General features: G+C 41.4%; 1 long non-coding RNA gene across 2 annotated transcripts; it reads right to left on the bottom strand.

Annotated features, from left to right (window-relative positions):
- Positions 1–9,474: 9,474 nt before the first annotated feature.
- On the bottom strand, positions 9,475–14,942 carry LOC105374634 (uncharacterized). Of its 2 annotated transcripts, none has more exons than XR_001742494.1 (3): positions 14,890–14,942; positions 14,419–14,571; positions 9,475–9,659 (listed from the first exon to the last, which is right to left on the bottom strand). It is a non-coding gene; the product is annotated as an uncharacterized LOC105374634 (long non-coding RNA). The 2 variants fall into 2 exon arrangements; XR_001742495.1 differs by lacking the exon at positions 14,890–14,942 and adding an exon at positions 14,729–14,821.
- Positions 14,943–15,868: the final 926 nt, after the last annotated feature.

Raw genomic sequence — 15,868 nt, 5'->3', positions numbered from 1 at the left:
TAAACATTTTTTCCCGCACACACTATGCTCTAAGTACGTCCTACCTTCAGCTCTTACAGGCCTTCGACAAACTAGGTGAGAGCGATACTCTTAGTTTCTCATTTTCAACATCAATACCTGAGACCAGAGAGGTTAAGAAACCAGTACAAGATCACACAGCCAGTAAATTCTAGAAAAAAGCCAGAGTCCAATGCAGGTGTTTTAACCTTCATATGAAGTTGCCCATTCTTACGTGATAAATTATAGTTGCAGAGACTTTCACACATTATGTTCTCAGGACCTCTCCTTCCCTTCACACATCTTGAGGATCCCCTAACTTCATTTATGCAAATAAAACTGAGCTAAACTTTGCCAAGGGAATGCTCATGATTAAAACTGATCTAGATTTTAACTACTACTGCTAAGAATTGTTCTTTATAATGTTAGTAATTAAAGCTGTGACATTTTAAATTTATTTCATATATAAAATTAATTTAATTTATAAAAAGTAGGTATTGACACATTTTAAAATTGCAATGTAAAACTACTATCATGTTAACATAAATAACAAATTTCTGCTAAATAAAACTACATTTTCCAAAACCAACAAAAATTAGTCAAAGATGGAATTGTTTTACATTTTTGCAAATTTTTTTATTGCCTGGCTTAATAAAGTCAGCTGGATTCTCAAGAGACTTCTGTAGTTAATCGATTGAGATACAGCAAGTCATGCAGCCTCTAAAAATGCCTACTGTATACTTCTAAAAGAATGATTTTTAAAATGTAAATAGCACCTTAGCATTATTAAGAAAATGATTTTAACCTTGCAGGTCCCTTGTAAAGGCCTCAGGGCCACCATAGGGTCCTTGGGTTGCATTTTATAAACCACTCATTTATTGATTACTATAGGGCCTGATATGGTTTGAATCTGTGTCCCCACCCAAATCTCATGTGGAATTATCATCCCCAGTGCTGGAGGTGGGACTGGGCGGGAGGTGATTGGATCATGGGGGTGGTTTCTCATGTTTTGCCACCACACTTCCTTGGATGTTATTGTGATGGTGAATTCTCTCAAGATCTGGTTGTATAAAGGTGTGTAGCACCTTCCCTTCACCCCCTGCACTCTCTCTCTCTCAGTCCTGCTCCTGCCGTTTAAGATGTCTGCTCCTGCTTTGCCTTCTGCCAAGAGTAAAAGCTCCTTGAGGCCTCCACAGAAGCAGATGCTGCTGTGTTTCCTGCCTGCAGAACCATGAGCCAATTAAACCTGTTTTCTTTACAAAGTTCCCAGTCTCACGTTTTTCTTTACAGTGGGGAAAACAGACTAATACAGTGCCTTAGGCACTATGCATTGGGGGCTAAAGAGAAGTCAGGAGAGACATCAGAAATCTCAAACTCAGTGGAAGAAAAGAGCTGTAAACTTTTATTTCCCAAATTCTTATTACAAAACATTCCCCAACATACAGCAAAGTTGAATTTTATCATGAATGTCCATATGCGGACAAACCTCCTAGAGTCTATTACTAACATTTTACTGTATTTGCCTTTTTCCATATCTAGCCATCAATTCATCCCTCCCTCCATCCGTCCACCAAACCGTCTTATTTTTCATGCATTTCAAAATACACTGCACATCATCACATTTTTCCCTAAAAACTTCAGTATTTATAGGATTAATTGAAGTTTAATATTCATATACACATTTTTTCTCTTGCTATAAATTTAAATATAATGAAACATGCAAGTCTTAAGTATACATTCAATGAGTTTTGATAAATATATGAACTTGTGTTACCCAACCTCTCTCAAGGTACAGAATGTCACTATCTCCCCAGAAAGGCCTTGATATTGCTTCTCAGCCAGCCCTCACCTACATCCCAAGGATGTAACCACTATTCTGATTTTTCTATCATAGATTAGTTTTGCCTGCTATAGAAACTTCATATAAAATGTACTCTTTCATGTAAGACTTATGTTTCACTGCATAATGTTATTTGCCAATCATACATGTCTTGCATATATCAATAATTTGTTTCTTTTTTGCTGAGGAAAATTCTATTGTATGAATGTATCAGTTTGTTCACTTCTTCTTTTATTGATGATCACTTAAACCATTTCCAGTTTTTGTCTATTTTGAATATAACTGTTATGAGCATTCTTGTGCAAGTGCAAGAGGCTTTCACAGGACAGACCAGCCAGGAGGACATCCATGCAGATGAGGACGGATGAAGTGCTAAAGCCCCAGGAGTGTTCAGAGAGGAAGAAGAACAGGATTTGGTTGGAGAAGATCCTTGGAGGTAGGTCAGAAGAAATGAACATACATCTTCATTTCTTTTGGGTAAATGCCTAGTTACAGAACAGCTAAGATTGTTTAGTTTCATCAGAAAGCTGCCAGAACATTTTCTTGAGCTCCCAGCCTCAAGTGATCCTCTCACCTCAACCTCCCAAAGTGCAGGGATTACAGGAGTGAGCCACTGTGCCCAGCCTCAGGAATTTTTCTAAAGTAGATGGACCATTCTTCTTGCACATCAACAAGGTATGAGAGCTTTTGTTGCTCAACATTCTCACAGGCATTTTCTATTTGTGGTCTTTTGAATTGTGGTATTCTAACAAGTATGTAGTAGTTTCATCATAATGGTGATTTGCAACTTCCTGATGACAAGAAGCTGAGAACTTCATGTGCTTTTTTGCCATTTATCTGTAGGGAATTCTGATTTGTTGCTGCCTGAAGGGATTCTGAGAAGGCTGCATGGAATAGTGGAAGAGGCTTTCACAGGACAGACCAGCCAGGAGGACATCCATGCGGATGAGGACGGATGAAGTGCTAAAGCCCCAGGAGTGTTCAAAGAGGAAGAAGAACAGGATTTGGCTGGAGAAGAAGATCCTTGGAGGTAGGTCAGTGATCTATAGAGTCATAAACTGAATTAAATGGGAAAATTAAGAAGCATAAGTTTATTTAGTCATTCAGGATGAATTAAAATCTTGAACAAAAGAAGTACACAGCTGGATTTGTCTGTGTACAAAATAGATCGAGGGAAGAGAGACTACTGGGTGGCCAGGTAGGAAGTTAATGCAGGAGTTCAGGTGAGAGAGGTGAGGGAGAGTTTGAGTTAGATTTAAGCAGGTCTCAGCATCTGGAGTGGGAGGGAAATGATGGGTCATCTGGAGAACTTGACTCTGTTACTGGGGTATTTGGGGCAGAGATGGAAGTAAAAGAGATAAATCTGAGTCTTTTATTCCACGTGTCAGGTTCAATGGTGGTATCATTTCCTTAAACAAAGGAGCAGAATTGTTTAAAGCAGAGGACCTGATTCAAACCCTGCTCTCCCTTCTGGTTGGGTGGCCATGGGAAAGTTATTCAACCTATCAGTGCCTCAGTTTATTCACTGTAAAATGAATGCAATTAGAACAGCTACTTCATAATGTGATGGACACTAATTCATTTAGTTCATTTATTCCTTCAACAAATATTTATACTCCTGAAATGTAGAGAGGAATACATGACATGTTGTAAGCAGTCAGTAAACATCAGGTCTCATAATAATAAATAGGACATTGAGACTTGGTGTTGAGGGGAGTTCATGTATATGCTGTAGGACTTTCTCCTTATTTCAGCTAAGAGCTGGGTCCTTATCACACAGCCATGAAATACTAGGCTCACAGATACTTTGAAGGGTGAGAAAAATGGAATTTATTGGGTGAAAAGGAAAAAAAGGGGAAACAAGGACTCTAGCAGAGCACGAGTCCTGCTAGTCTGGGCGTCCTGCCTCACAGATTGAATCCCAGGTTCCACAACCAAACAGGAGAGGCTGGGTTCCTCCCCAGCCGCAAAGCGCAAACTTCCCAAGGCTCCACCCCAATGCACGCTCTTCCCAGTAAGCAGGCCAGCTGGGAGTTTGTCCAGGGATCCTTTCCCGCCTGGCTGTCTCATTCCCCCTCTAAAGAAGGACATCTGACTGCCCGTAGATTAAGGATTAGCGCAAGGATGAAGACCAGTCTTAACTGCCTTCTGCTGGTAGGGGGCGCTGTTTTGGGGGAAATGGCAGTCAGCGTTCCCTCCGAGGCTGATCGAAGGGTTCCCAGAAGAAGGCGCCATTATCAGAGGCTTTGGTTGCATGACCGTTGGAGTTCCATGGCCTGAAGGCGAGAAGGGACAAGCCGTTATTAGAAAACATGTATCAAACCAAAACAAAACAAGGGGAGGGGTAAGGACAGCTCAAAAGTCCTGAGGCCTTTTACCAGTCTGCACAGGGAGGGAGAGGCCAAAAGCTCAACTGGCAAAAAACAACAACAACAAAAAAACCTTTGCCCTTTAGCCAGCATCTTGGGCTTCTGGGTTTCCTTCCTCTTAGCCCAATCCTAAGCCAACCGGTTTAAGGTTTGGGAAATTAACTTTTTCTAGTTTGAAAGATACATCTGAGTGTAGTGTCCTGTAGTACGGGAACACAACTGCCTGTCAGTGAAAAGAGAGCCAAGGAAGAGAAAGGAAAAAAAGACGGCATTTTTCAAAGGAGCCCCAGGGTTTCAGGATGCATTTGAAAGGGGTATAGATTAAAGATGAATGGATATCCATCTAGAAAGAGGGGAGCAGTCATCCCTGGTTCCCTTCTCCTCCTAGCAGATACACGAGGGGGACAAAGAAGAGCATCCTCTTTCCCTCTTCCATCCTTGCATCCCTGAGTCTGGGTGACCTTGGCAGGCACCTCCCATGGGTGCTAAAGTGGCTTGCACCCATGAAGCAGGAGGGCCTAGAGAATAGGAATTATCTGCTCTCACCTATGTCTTTATCCCTCCTACTGCATTTATGCCATGGATACTAGCATGACCTTTATCCATGAAATGGAAGGCTTGGCTTAATCTGCAGTAATTAACCATACTCATCTGTGCTGTACATTTTAACCTCTATTATCATCTGCCTCTGGATCCCTTAGATCCAGTTTTCTTCCTAAGGCTTTGACCCAAAGCTTGGAATTGAGTTTGGGACAAAAATGTGTCTCCTGGGGGTTGCATGGACTCCTTATCATAAGCTGAATGCTAAGGTGAAGCTGTGTGATTAAATCCTCCTCCAACAAGGGAGAGAAAAGATGTCTTGTGACACACCCAGATAACTGGTGGCTACAGTTACGCTTGCTAGGATTTGGGTGCATGGTGCTTGGCTTTGGTTAGCCCCCTTGATCTTACCTCCCCAAACGGAAACCTCCAGGTGATAGGCATCCTATTTATACGCATCACTTGGCAGGATTTGCAGGAAAATTGCACAGTACTAGAATATTGATCCAGATTTTTACATTACCCATCCCTCTTTTCCTTTCTGAGCTGCAGCCAGAGATTGCTGGTAGGTTCACAGGAATAAGCAGGGTTAGTCTAAAAATGTAGGCAATACTTAAAAACAACTAGTGAGTTTAGAATTTAATGACAAATGTATAAGTTTTGAAAGATAATTTCTCTCTCTCCAGTCCCCATTTTTGCTAAAAAAAAAAAAAAAAAAGAGAGAGAAACAAATCATGATAGGACTGAGTTGTTTGCAGAATAGACTTTAGTCTTATACTTGGCCTGTTTATTTGTATAAAGTGCAGCAAGAATAACTATTTCTACATAGGCCTTTTAGATTGGCTTTGATGGAACTCTATTCCACAAGGAGTCTCAGGTAAGACCTTTTAAAGCTGAACCCAGTCATGGGTTTGTATCTTCAAATACCTGTGAGTTGAGTGATCCTCTCCTCTTAAGGTCCCAAGATAAACTTGGAGCTCCTAGGCCTGTTAGAAAGTGACATTCTTTATTGAACACAGGCCAGGAACCCTGTACAGGGACTGTGTAGGCAAGGGTATGAGGCTAGTTTCTCCTAAGGGGCTCTTATCAGGTCTACAAGTCGAGCTTGACTCCTTTAAGGGGAAGCATACACTTTCAGTCCAAGCCTTGATAAAACAACCAGTTTCTCCAATTGCATCCTGTTGCAAAAGAAAAGTGAATTCTTACTGCATTGATGCAAACAAGTATATTTCCATAAGTTATGAATACTCACAGATAGTTTCCAAATTCTGGAGAAGCCAGCCAGAGACAGAAAATATGCTACAAATTTTGTTCACAGGAGTATACCTTACTCAATTATTAATGGCCATAAATAGTTCAAAATAAGTTTCCTTGACTCTGAAAATCAAAACAAGGATCAGCAATACTCCAAGAAAAAGTCAAACAGTTTGCTTCAGCTTTCTGAGTTCAGTCCATTTAGTTAATACTTGTTTTGCTTGATATTCATGAACATTTTAGCTTTCATGAGTCCTGTACATTTTCCTTTATTCCAATGTCACAACCTCCAAAGTTATCAGAAACCTGTATTTAAGAGTACGTTTCAGAGTGCTATCACTTATTATAAACTATCTTTTGAAAAGGATTAAAACAAAACACCAATTGTCTGTGAATAACAAAATGTTCACGGTAGTCACAGTTAGAAACACAATTGACAAGTTTGCTTATCTCTGTGGCTTACAACAACTTAAAAACCTTAACTGTGTTTGATAGCATATACTCAGAGTTTAGAATTTTAGAAATCCCATACAATTTTGGAACATATATTAGCCTTATTCACAAAAATATAACCTAAAGAAGATTGAACATCATTTTGGCAATCTCATGTGCCTAACATATCAAATAATCCTGTTTACATCTCTTTTCTGGGCACTCTGGGGGCCCTTCTGGAGCTTCCAAAAAGAAGGTTTCAGGAAAGACAATTTTGAAACTGTAGTTTGATTTTGGGAAGGCTCTGAAATGTGTTAGAGGTTTAAAACACTTGATGTAATGAAATAGAATTCCAGATTGCCATAAGTTATTTATTTTGCCAAAATGATGACTCAGAAATTTTAAAGAAGCAAAAACCTTTTATAATCCTGTACAAATTTTGCTAAAGAGCAGACCAGTGCCTTAAGAAAACCTTATTGTGCTTTTATTTCAATGCTCAATTTACAGAAAAACTATATAAAACCCTTTTGAATTTAGTTAATGTTTACACACAGAATTTCTTCTGCAAGATTAATTTTTAGAAACCTTTCAGAATGTGTTTGAATCTTCGGCTTTATCCTAATTCAAAACAATTCTTAACCCTGGGTAAGAGTTTACATTTTCATGCTTTTTTATAATCTCTTACTAAAAACACATTTTACTGTTTTTACGCATTTTGCATATAAATCTATTTTCAGTAGTTTCAATTACATGTCATAATGGTAACTTTTACCAATGTTAACTTTAATGTAAAACCTGGTAAGTTGTTTTAATTGCATGCTAAGTGCAGCCAAGCTTTGACTCCTTCCAGCATAATTAAGGTTGTGGTTAGTTCCGTATGTCCCTAGGCCTTACCAATTGTGGAGCTAACAAGTTAAATAGTTCTCAAAACCCAAAAGGCAGTTTACAACCTTAAAACACTTAGCAAATCTTGCATCTGACCTGCACAATTTAAGCCCACCTGTTTACATTTTGATGGCATCTGCATTTTACCAATAATCTTTAAGGCTGTTTTTATTTCTCAGAGATTAAAGTCATGTGAACTGAAAGGAACCACAGCTCTTCCCTTTAAAAAATATTTTATCCAAGCACATGTCTTCCTTTAGGCCAAGTTAATTAGAGCTCTTTTTACAGGTATCATTATGCACAACACATGTATAACTACACAGACAGGCAGAAGAAAACCCAGTTGCTGGGTGGAGCCCTTTAAGAGAAGGGGCTAGGAAAACATGCAGATATTAAACCAGAAAGGAATCATTTCCTAAGGCAGGATATCTAAACAAAACCTTGCCATGGGGCTATAGGCCACGGCCCCAGGATGTAAAACAAGACGGATGCCTGCAGTGAAGTTTGCTGCAAGCCATATAGACATGCAAAGTACACCAGATTGGCTATAGCTTAAGACCAGCCTCACAAATCCTTTTTCACAATTAAAACTTTACAGAGGATATAACAGTGATTCTTATCATTCCTAGCCTAGTAAAACGTCTTCTAAAAGGAAAAACCTTGCTTTTTCCTTTTTAAAAGTTAACTGCTGACAGAGTGGAGAAAGGGATGAAAAAAAAAAAAAGTTTAAAAATGCCTGGGGAAGAACCTCTTATTCTTATGCAACTGGTTCCTCCACCCGGGAGAAAAGCTTAATTGCTTTGGGATGGAGCTGGCCTCCCTGGCCAGGGAAAATGGAAACTCCATGGGCACGGAGGAGAAAACACCAACCAGCAGCCTGGGGCTTCTTGGGCCATGTGTCCCAGCCCTGGCAGGGAGGGGATGGTGGTAGGGAGCTGCTGCTCACCTGGCCATTCCACAAAAGGAAGAAAAAGGACATGGACAGGCCCCCAACCCCCAGTGGAGGTGGGGGCATGGTTTCCTCTATCCTCAGATGTCCAAGGATGAAAAGACTTAGAAATGAGAGGGAAAAAGATTTCTTGGTTTACATCTCACTCACCCTTCTCAAGCCTCACATTATGAGCACCAAAAATGTTGTAGTACCTTCTCCTTAGTTCATCTAAGAGCTGGGTCCTTGTCACATGGCCGTGAAATATTGGGCTCACAAACACTGTGAAGGGTGAGAAAAAAAGAATTTATTGGGCAAAAATGGGAAAAACTGGAAACAGGGACTCAGCAGAGTGAGAGTCCTGCAAGTACAGGCTTCCCACCTCACAGATTGAGTTCCTGCTTCCATCTCTGAACAGGAGAGGCCAGGCTCCTTCCCTACGGCAAAGGGCAGGAACTTCCCGAGGCTCCACCCCAGTGCACACTCCTTCCAGTGTGCAGGTCGGTTGGAGTTTCTCTGGGGACCCCTTTACACTTGGCTGTCTCACATGCACATTCTGCCTTTAAATGCACTTTGCTGTTGACGAAACACTTCTGCACATATTATTCCATTTAATTCTCCTTCAAACTGTAAGATCTGGGTATTGTCATCCAAATTTAACTCACCCAGGGTAGAAGCAAGAAATGGACATGTGAAAATCATCTGAAACCAGGACCCAGAGGAAGCCCAGATGTTGGGAATGTTGAAGGAGAAGAAAGAACTTGGGGAGTTCTCCAGGTGAGAGTGTAGGAAGCTGGGATCTGAAGACAGAGTTCAGGCTAGAGGGATGTGCAGTTTCCTCTTGCTACACAGGGGACCCTTGCAAATTAACATTTCCCAGTTCCAGCTCCCCATCCCTGACTCGCCTAGCAAGATCCAGTCTCTCTTCACTAGACCCAAGAGTTTCTTTGTTCCTGCATTGATTTTTCCTCTTGAGATCTCCTTCTCCTTCTCCACGGGTGCCTGTGGAATGGGGACATATTGACATTCCTAGGAAGACTGTAAGATCCTGGCCATGTGATACTAACTAATAAAATAACCACATAATCCATTAAGTGAGCATGCACTAGCATTACCCAACTAGGCAGTAGATGTAAAACTGTCAAAGGTTTTATTCAATATGAAAGAACTTCAGCACTTAAAATAAATTTATGTAATCCCTTGGATTTTATAGAATGCAGTTATTAAAATAGAGGTTTCTGTAAAAAAACAAAACAAACAAACAAAAAAAAACTTTTCAAACCTTAGGTCGGAGCACACCAAAGAGGACTCTAAGAGGGATAACCACCGATAATGACTCAAATGTGCCGTTCATTATTTATGATTTCTGAAAGCCAGAATGTTATCCTCAACTCGCACTTTGAAACTGAATTCTCTGAAAAACAGAAAAACAGAAGTCCCAGTTAGCGTTTTCCAGGAAATATTGGCTGAGATTCAGATTTAGAAAAAATGGTTTTGTTCAACATTTATTTGACAATTAAATGTCTATATGTCTGTCAGGGAGAAAGTTAAATATTTGTTTATCTGTTCAGATAAATGCCTTCTACCTCAACTTGGAACACTGACATACATCCTTATTTCCTGAGTGGAAGTGATGTTTCTCCAATCTTCTGCCCTTCATGGCAGGAGGATTTACCAGGAAGCACATGACCTTTCTGTCTTTTCTCATCTGCCTTTGAGCCTTGTAATCAGCAGAATAATTATCCAGAAATAGGTTGTGTGATCTTGCATCTTTCATGCAAATAAAAAAGATTTATTTTCTCAGTAAACTTGACTTACCAAACAGAGCTGGCTTCGCCTGCCTTGGGATTCTATAAAGAGAAAATTGGCCTCAAGTTTAAAGGAAAAGCATCTTTATCAATTTCAGATACTATTATGATATCATATTTCAATATTTCAAGTTAGATTAGATTAAGGATCTTGAAAAAATTACTACTTAAATGTGTATTCAAGCAGTCTCTTAAAAATTAAGATTTTAACTTCCTAAATATTTCAATGGGATTTAGACCTTCCTTCTGGGTCCCAGAACTTGCAGCTTGAGGTCATAAATATTATTTTTCCTTGTTTTTCCACAAAAGTATTTATACAGTGGGCAATGTAGGAGGCACATTTGCAGGCTCCCAGCATTGGAACTACTTTCATAAGTGGATTTGTTACCGGTGGATGGTGTCCAGGTTCTTGGCATCTTGAACAAAGAATTGGACAAAACACACAAAGCGAAGGAATAATAGTTTTTAAAGGAAAAACTGAGAAAGATTACATACTAGTTATGAAATAATTATCCTCGGCTACAAAGATGAATAACAAGGGTGACACCAGTCTGAGGTTGGACAGGCAGTTGTTGGGTGGATGTCCTTCCAGAAGTATTGTTTGTGAGAAGTTGTGATGACCTTTGTGCAAGTTCGTGATTTTTGCAGTTTTTTTTTTTTTTTTGCAAGAAATTTTGTTATCAGGCATATAAGCATAAGAACTCTCTCTTCATGGCTTTTCTGGGCTCTATTTGTCAGGATTTTTTAAGTGATATGACTCCATTTTTATTTTTACAACATTCAGATGAGCTTACTTACCCACCTGGTACCTGCTGTGAATTTGTGTGCCCTTCTAATAAGGGCCACCTGCCCCAGACTTCAAATGGGGTGCTAGCAATACTTCTGTCTGTTATCTATTGGCATGATGATGCTGCATGGCAAACAGCCATGAAAACTCAGAAAGGCATAATAGCATTTATTAGCGCATGGGCTTGTGGGTTAGTGAATTAGAACTTCAGCTGGGAAGTTCTGATCTTGGCTGAGGTCACCCAGATGTAGAGTTAGTGAATGAGGGTCGGCTGAGGAAGAGCTGGCCAACTCCATGCTGTTCCCTGTTCTTTATCCTTGGACAGGCCAGCCCCAGCACATTGTCCTGAAGACAGCAGAGCAGCAAAAGCCAAGTGTGAATCCAAACGCACTTTTCAGCCACCTGCACACATCACATTCCCAACAAAGCCAGTTCCCCAAAAGATGGGGTCTTTCCCTGTTGGGTACTACAAAGCCAATAGACAAAAGTAAAAATGAGCATCAGCAGTGCAGGCTTTATTCAACGGCCATGGAATTGAAAAGCAGACACATGACTCACATATCAACTTCTAAGCTCATGAGAGCTGGAAAGTTACAGATATTGGGCATCTTTATTGAAGGAGTTGGGCATTAGAAGCAAGGGGAGCAAAGTTTATGTCTTTTCTGGGAACAGATAAAGAACTTCTTGAACTGAGTGTCATTCTCTTTTTTGTCCTCTCATGGTTTCTTCTTGCCATTGTAGTGGTGACTGTCAACTGTCATGGCTCTGGAGGGAGTGCCATTTTGCATGAAAATTAGATTATGATAAAGTTAGATGTTCTTTTTTTTTTTTTTTTTTGAGACGGAGTCTTACTTTGTTGCCCAGGCGGCTGGAGTGCAATGGCGCAATCTCAGCTCACTGCAAGCTCTGCCTCCCGGGTTCACGCCATTCTCCTGCCTCAGCCTCCCGAGTAGCTGGGACTACAGGCGCCCGCCACTGCTCCCGGCTAATTTTTTGTACTTTTAGTAGAAACAAGGTTTCACCATGTTAGCCAAGATGGTCTCGATCTCCTGACCTCATGATCTGCCCGCCTTGGCCTCCCAAAGTGCTGGGATTACAGGCGTGAGCCACTGTGCCCAGCCTAGATGTTCTTTAGAGGTAAAGTGAGCTGCCACTTTGGATCCCACCAGTCTTAGCTGGTTTGGTCACAAGGGGAAAACCTCTGACCTCAGGCATCCTGTTTCCTAAAGATAAGCAGAATGAAGGCAGGTTAGAAATACACCTAGGTCACATAGACATCACACTGGGTAACAACATCTGCTAACATTCCATGACCTGAACAGCTCATGGCCAAAATCCAGGGATATGGAAACAAATGAAATACATTGTACCCCTTTAGCGAGAGGAAATGCAAAGTTCCAGGATAAAGGACTTGAATACGGGGAGGGGTGTGGAACGGGAATGACTAAGGCACTCAATATCCTTAGTTCACTCTCTGATCAAAGCTATTCACATACCTCCTGTCTTATGTGGCTTTCACCAAAATAGACTCTGAGATACCAATTTGTGTTCACGAGGTTTCTGGGGAGTGCTGCCCACGTTGGGACTCAAATAGGATACCCCAATATGTGGTGCCTTGGCATGCTGAGTATTTAAATGAAGGACTTGAAAGAGCTCAGAAGAAAGGTCTCTATGACCTTCTTCTACCTCTAGCCGTTCTTTCTCCTCCTAAGCAAGCCATGACCAGAATTTCTCTTCCCCTAGGCGGGCTATACGAACTAGTGCTCCTCTACCCCACAGCAAGCCATAAAACCTAGAAAGGTCACTCTCTCCCTTTCTCCTTCTCCCTCGAAGACCCTCATTCCACAAAGACCCTGCCACAGATCTAGGAGGAAGGAAGGCTGCACAGAGAGGCCAAGAAGAATCTGAGCAGACAGGCCTGCTGGGTTTCTTCTTGGTCTGTGTCCGTCAGATCACACGCTTTTGTCGAATCACACATCTACACAGCTGTCCACTCTTCATTGAACCTGAGCATAAAAACAGACAACGTTCGCTGAATCTTTGAGTCTTCATTTCTGAAGGCTCCTGTGTCTGTCATGTCAAACTTTGATTAAATCAATACTTTATGCTTTTCTCTTGTTAACCTGTCTTTTGTTACAGGAGTGTCGGCCATGACCCTTATGATGGGTAAGGGAAGGCATCACCCTTTTCACCCACTCATCAGAAGCAGGCCCTGAAGGGGAGTGAGGGAAGTGAGGGAAGCAGGGCTAAGAGAAAGAAAATGCAAAATGCACTGCATTTTCAAAAGGGCTACCTGGGGATAGGATGACCCTTCAAAGCTGTCTCGTTTCATGGAAGGGAACCTGGCCTTTCTACCTCCTGGGTAAAAAGCTCTTTTCAGGGGAACTCCTGAAGATTAATACATGTGTGAGCCAGCATCTCACACTCCAGGAGGCTGAGTAAGGATTTCAGCCCTGATGGAGAAATCGAGGCAGTGGACACAGCATCCCCTGCAGGCTCCCTCCTGCCCTACTCAGATCACTTGGCTCTTAGAGCAACTTCACCCCCACTGAAAACAGCTCTTCCAGATTATGCTTCATCTAATTTCCCAAGGAACGTGATACAGGAGTTAAGAAGAAATTATTTAGGCAGATAGCGAGGGTAGGGAAGTCCTCGGAAAGGTTTTTCTTTTAATGAAAAGCAGCCCCCAAAATCATTTTCTTTTCTGACAAAGAGCAACCTGTAAAATCAAGCTGCAGACATAGACAAGCAAGCTGGAAGCTTGCACGGGTGAATGCTGGCACCTTTGCCAATAGGAAGAAGCGACCTGGGGTCTAGGCATGTCCAACATGATGGCTCCATCTTCCCCTTTCTTTGTCAACCACGTGCACAGTAAGGAGCAGGCAGCAAAGTGTGGGCCAAGTAAAGACCCCATTTGCATAATAATATTAGGGTGAGGTGGCCAGCTTCCTGATGCTATGAAAAGGTCACACCCGGTCCAACCAATCTTTGGGCCCTATGTTAATCAGGCATCACCTCCTCAAGCCTGTCTATAAAATCTGGTGCACTCTGCCATGGTCCAGAGGTCCCACTCAGGTGCGCCTCTCTCTCACAGGAGAGAGATCTATTCCCTTTTCTCTTTCTTTTGCCTATTAAACCTCCACTCTTAACCTCACTCCATGTGGTTCCATGTCCTTGATTTCCTTGGCACAAGGCAACGAGTCCTGGGTATTTATCCCAGACAGTGATGCAGCTTCAAAAGTAGCAAGAAAGAGGCTAGCACAACCAGCTAAACCCCAACACTGCAGCAGGTCTAAGACCACACTGATACTTTCATCTCTCTCTTCTAGTACCCATCATATAGTCCTTCTCTGGGTGGCTTCCTAGGAGTGTGGTGCAGACCCTCCTGTCCAAGGCTGTGATGTGTCATGTGGCTGTCTCAGGTTGTGGCTGCTGTAATTAATTATCTGTTACCATTAAAACCGGGCAGAGGTAGGTGCCTCTGGAAATGGCAAAGCAGTCATGTGAATTCCTCGCGGGTATCAATGGTAAAATGGAATAAAATAAATAAAACAGCACTTAAGGACACTAGAACTCACCCAAAAGCAACTGGAAGAAATGGTGGAATTGCAAGTTCATGGCTTCCTGTCCAGGAGTGCTGCCCTGGCTGCAGAAAGTGATGTGGGGAGGGACAAAGACGCAGCTGGTCAACTGAAGGTGATAGCACTTGGAGCTTAGAGCCGGGAAAGCAGCTGGAAATAGGAAGAGGAAATCCTGGCACACAAGTCACAGGAGTGAAACCCAGAATCAGAGCACAAACTTCCCAAATCCCTGGCTGACAGCTAACATACACACACACAGAAATGACCCTCCACAGGGGTAGCAGAAAATCAGGCAGTAAAGAGAAACCTGCTGTTACAAGACAGAGCAATGCCAGCCAGATCTGTGAGCCGGATGTGTTCCTTAGTGGAGCTCATCCTCCACCATTGCATTGGAGGCAGCAGGAAGCTTGAGGAGTCTGAGCGGAGCGGCCGGGAAATGAAGGGTCACCCTAGGAGCAAGGAACTTACAGACAGCATGAGCTCCCTCTCTGCCCAAATCCTTGACTGATGACCACATTTCATTTCAAAAAGGAGGCTAAAGGTGACAAGGGGTCAGGCTAAAAAAAGCAGCTCCAGGAAGTACTAAATCTATTTCAGGACACCTTACACATAGCTATTTGGAATGAGCAGACTTCTACCTCTTTTGTTGGTCAAAATAAAGCACTTTCCTTCCCAACTATTAAAAGAGCTTTTCATCACTCCTAAATCATATACCTTACACTCAACTCTGCATTGCAAAGTTTTTTTTAAAAAAAGAAATCTAGAAATATATTTGATATTTTTAGAATATTTAGTATGTACTAATCTAGTGAGTCCAGTAGAAATACAATGCTAATGATATATGTAATTTTAATTAATTAATTTTACCACATTTTACATTAATTGATAAAATTGTACATATTTACCATGTACAACATGATGTTTTGAAGTCTATATACATTGTGGAATGAATAACGTACATACATATTACCTACATTGTTACCTGCATTCCCTTGATGGATGTAATTTTAAATGTTCTAGTAGCCACATTAAAAATTTTTAAAGAAACAAGGGAAGTTATTTTCAAAAACTGATTTTATTTAACCTAACATATTCAAAATATTTTCATTTTAACACAAAATAAATATAGACATTATGCATATTTTATATACTTATTTCTGTCCTAGGTCCTCAAGATCTGTTGTGTATTTTTTACACTTGCAGTTTTCTTTAATTGAAGTGAAAATGCAGTTCCTTGGGCACACCAGCCACATTTCCTGTGCTCAACACCCGTGTGTGACTTACAGCTACCACCCTGAACACAGCGATGCCATTCTGTGATTAATATGGAGGTATCAGAGAGAGAATTAGAAAGAGTGCCTGCCCACAGGACACGTCAAATAGTGGAGCACACAGAGAAAGCAACAAAAGGTGAAATAAGCAAAGCGAGGGCTGCAAAGGGTGATGT

Source organism: Homo sapiens, chromosome 5 (genome assembly GCF_000001405.40).
Source record: "Homo sapiens chromosome 5, GRCh38.p14 Primary Assembly".
Classification (NCBI taxonomy): Eukaryota; Metazoa; Chordata; class Mammalia; order Primates; family Hominidae; genus Homo; species Homo sapiens.
The sequence above is the reverse complement of the archived record's forward strand: the minus strand, read 5'-3'. Positions and strand labels throughout refer to the sequence as shown.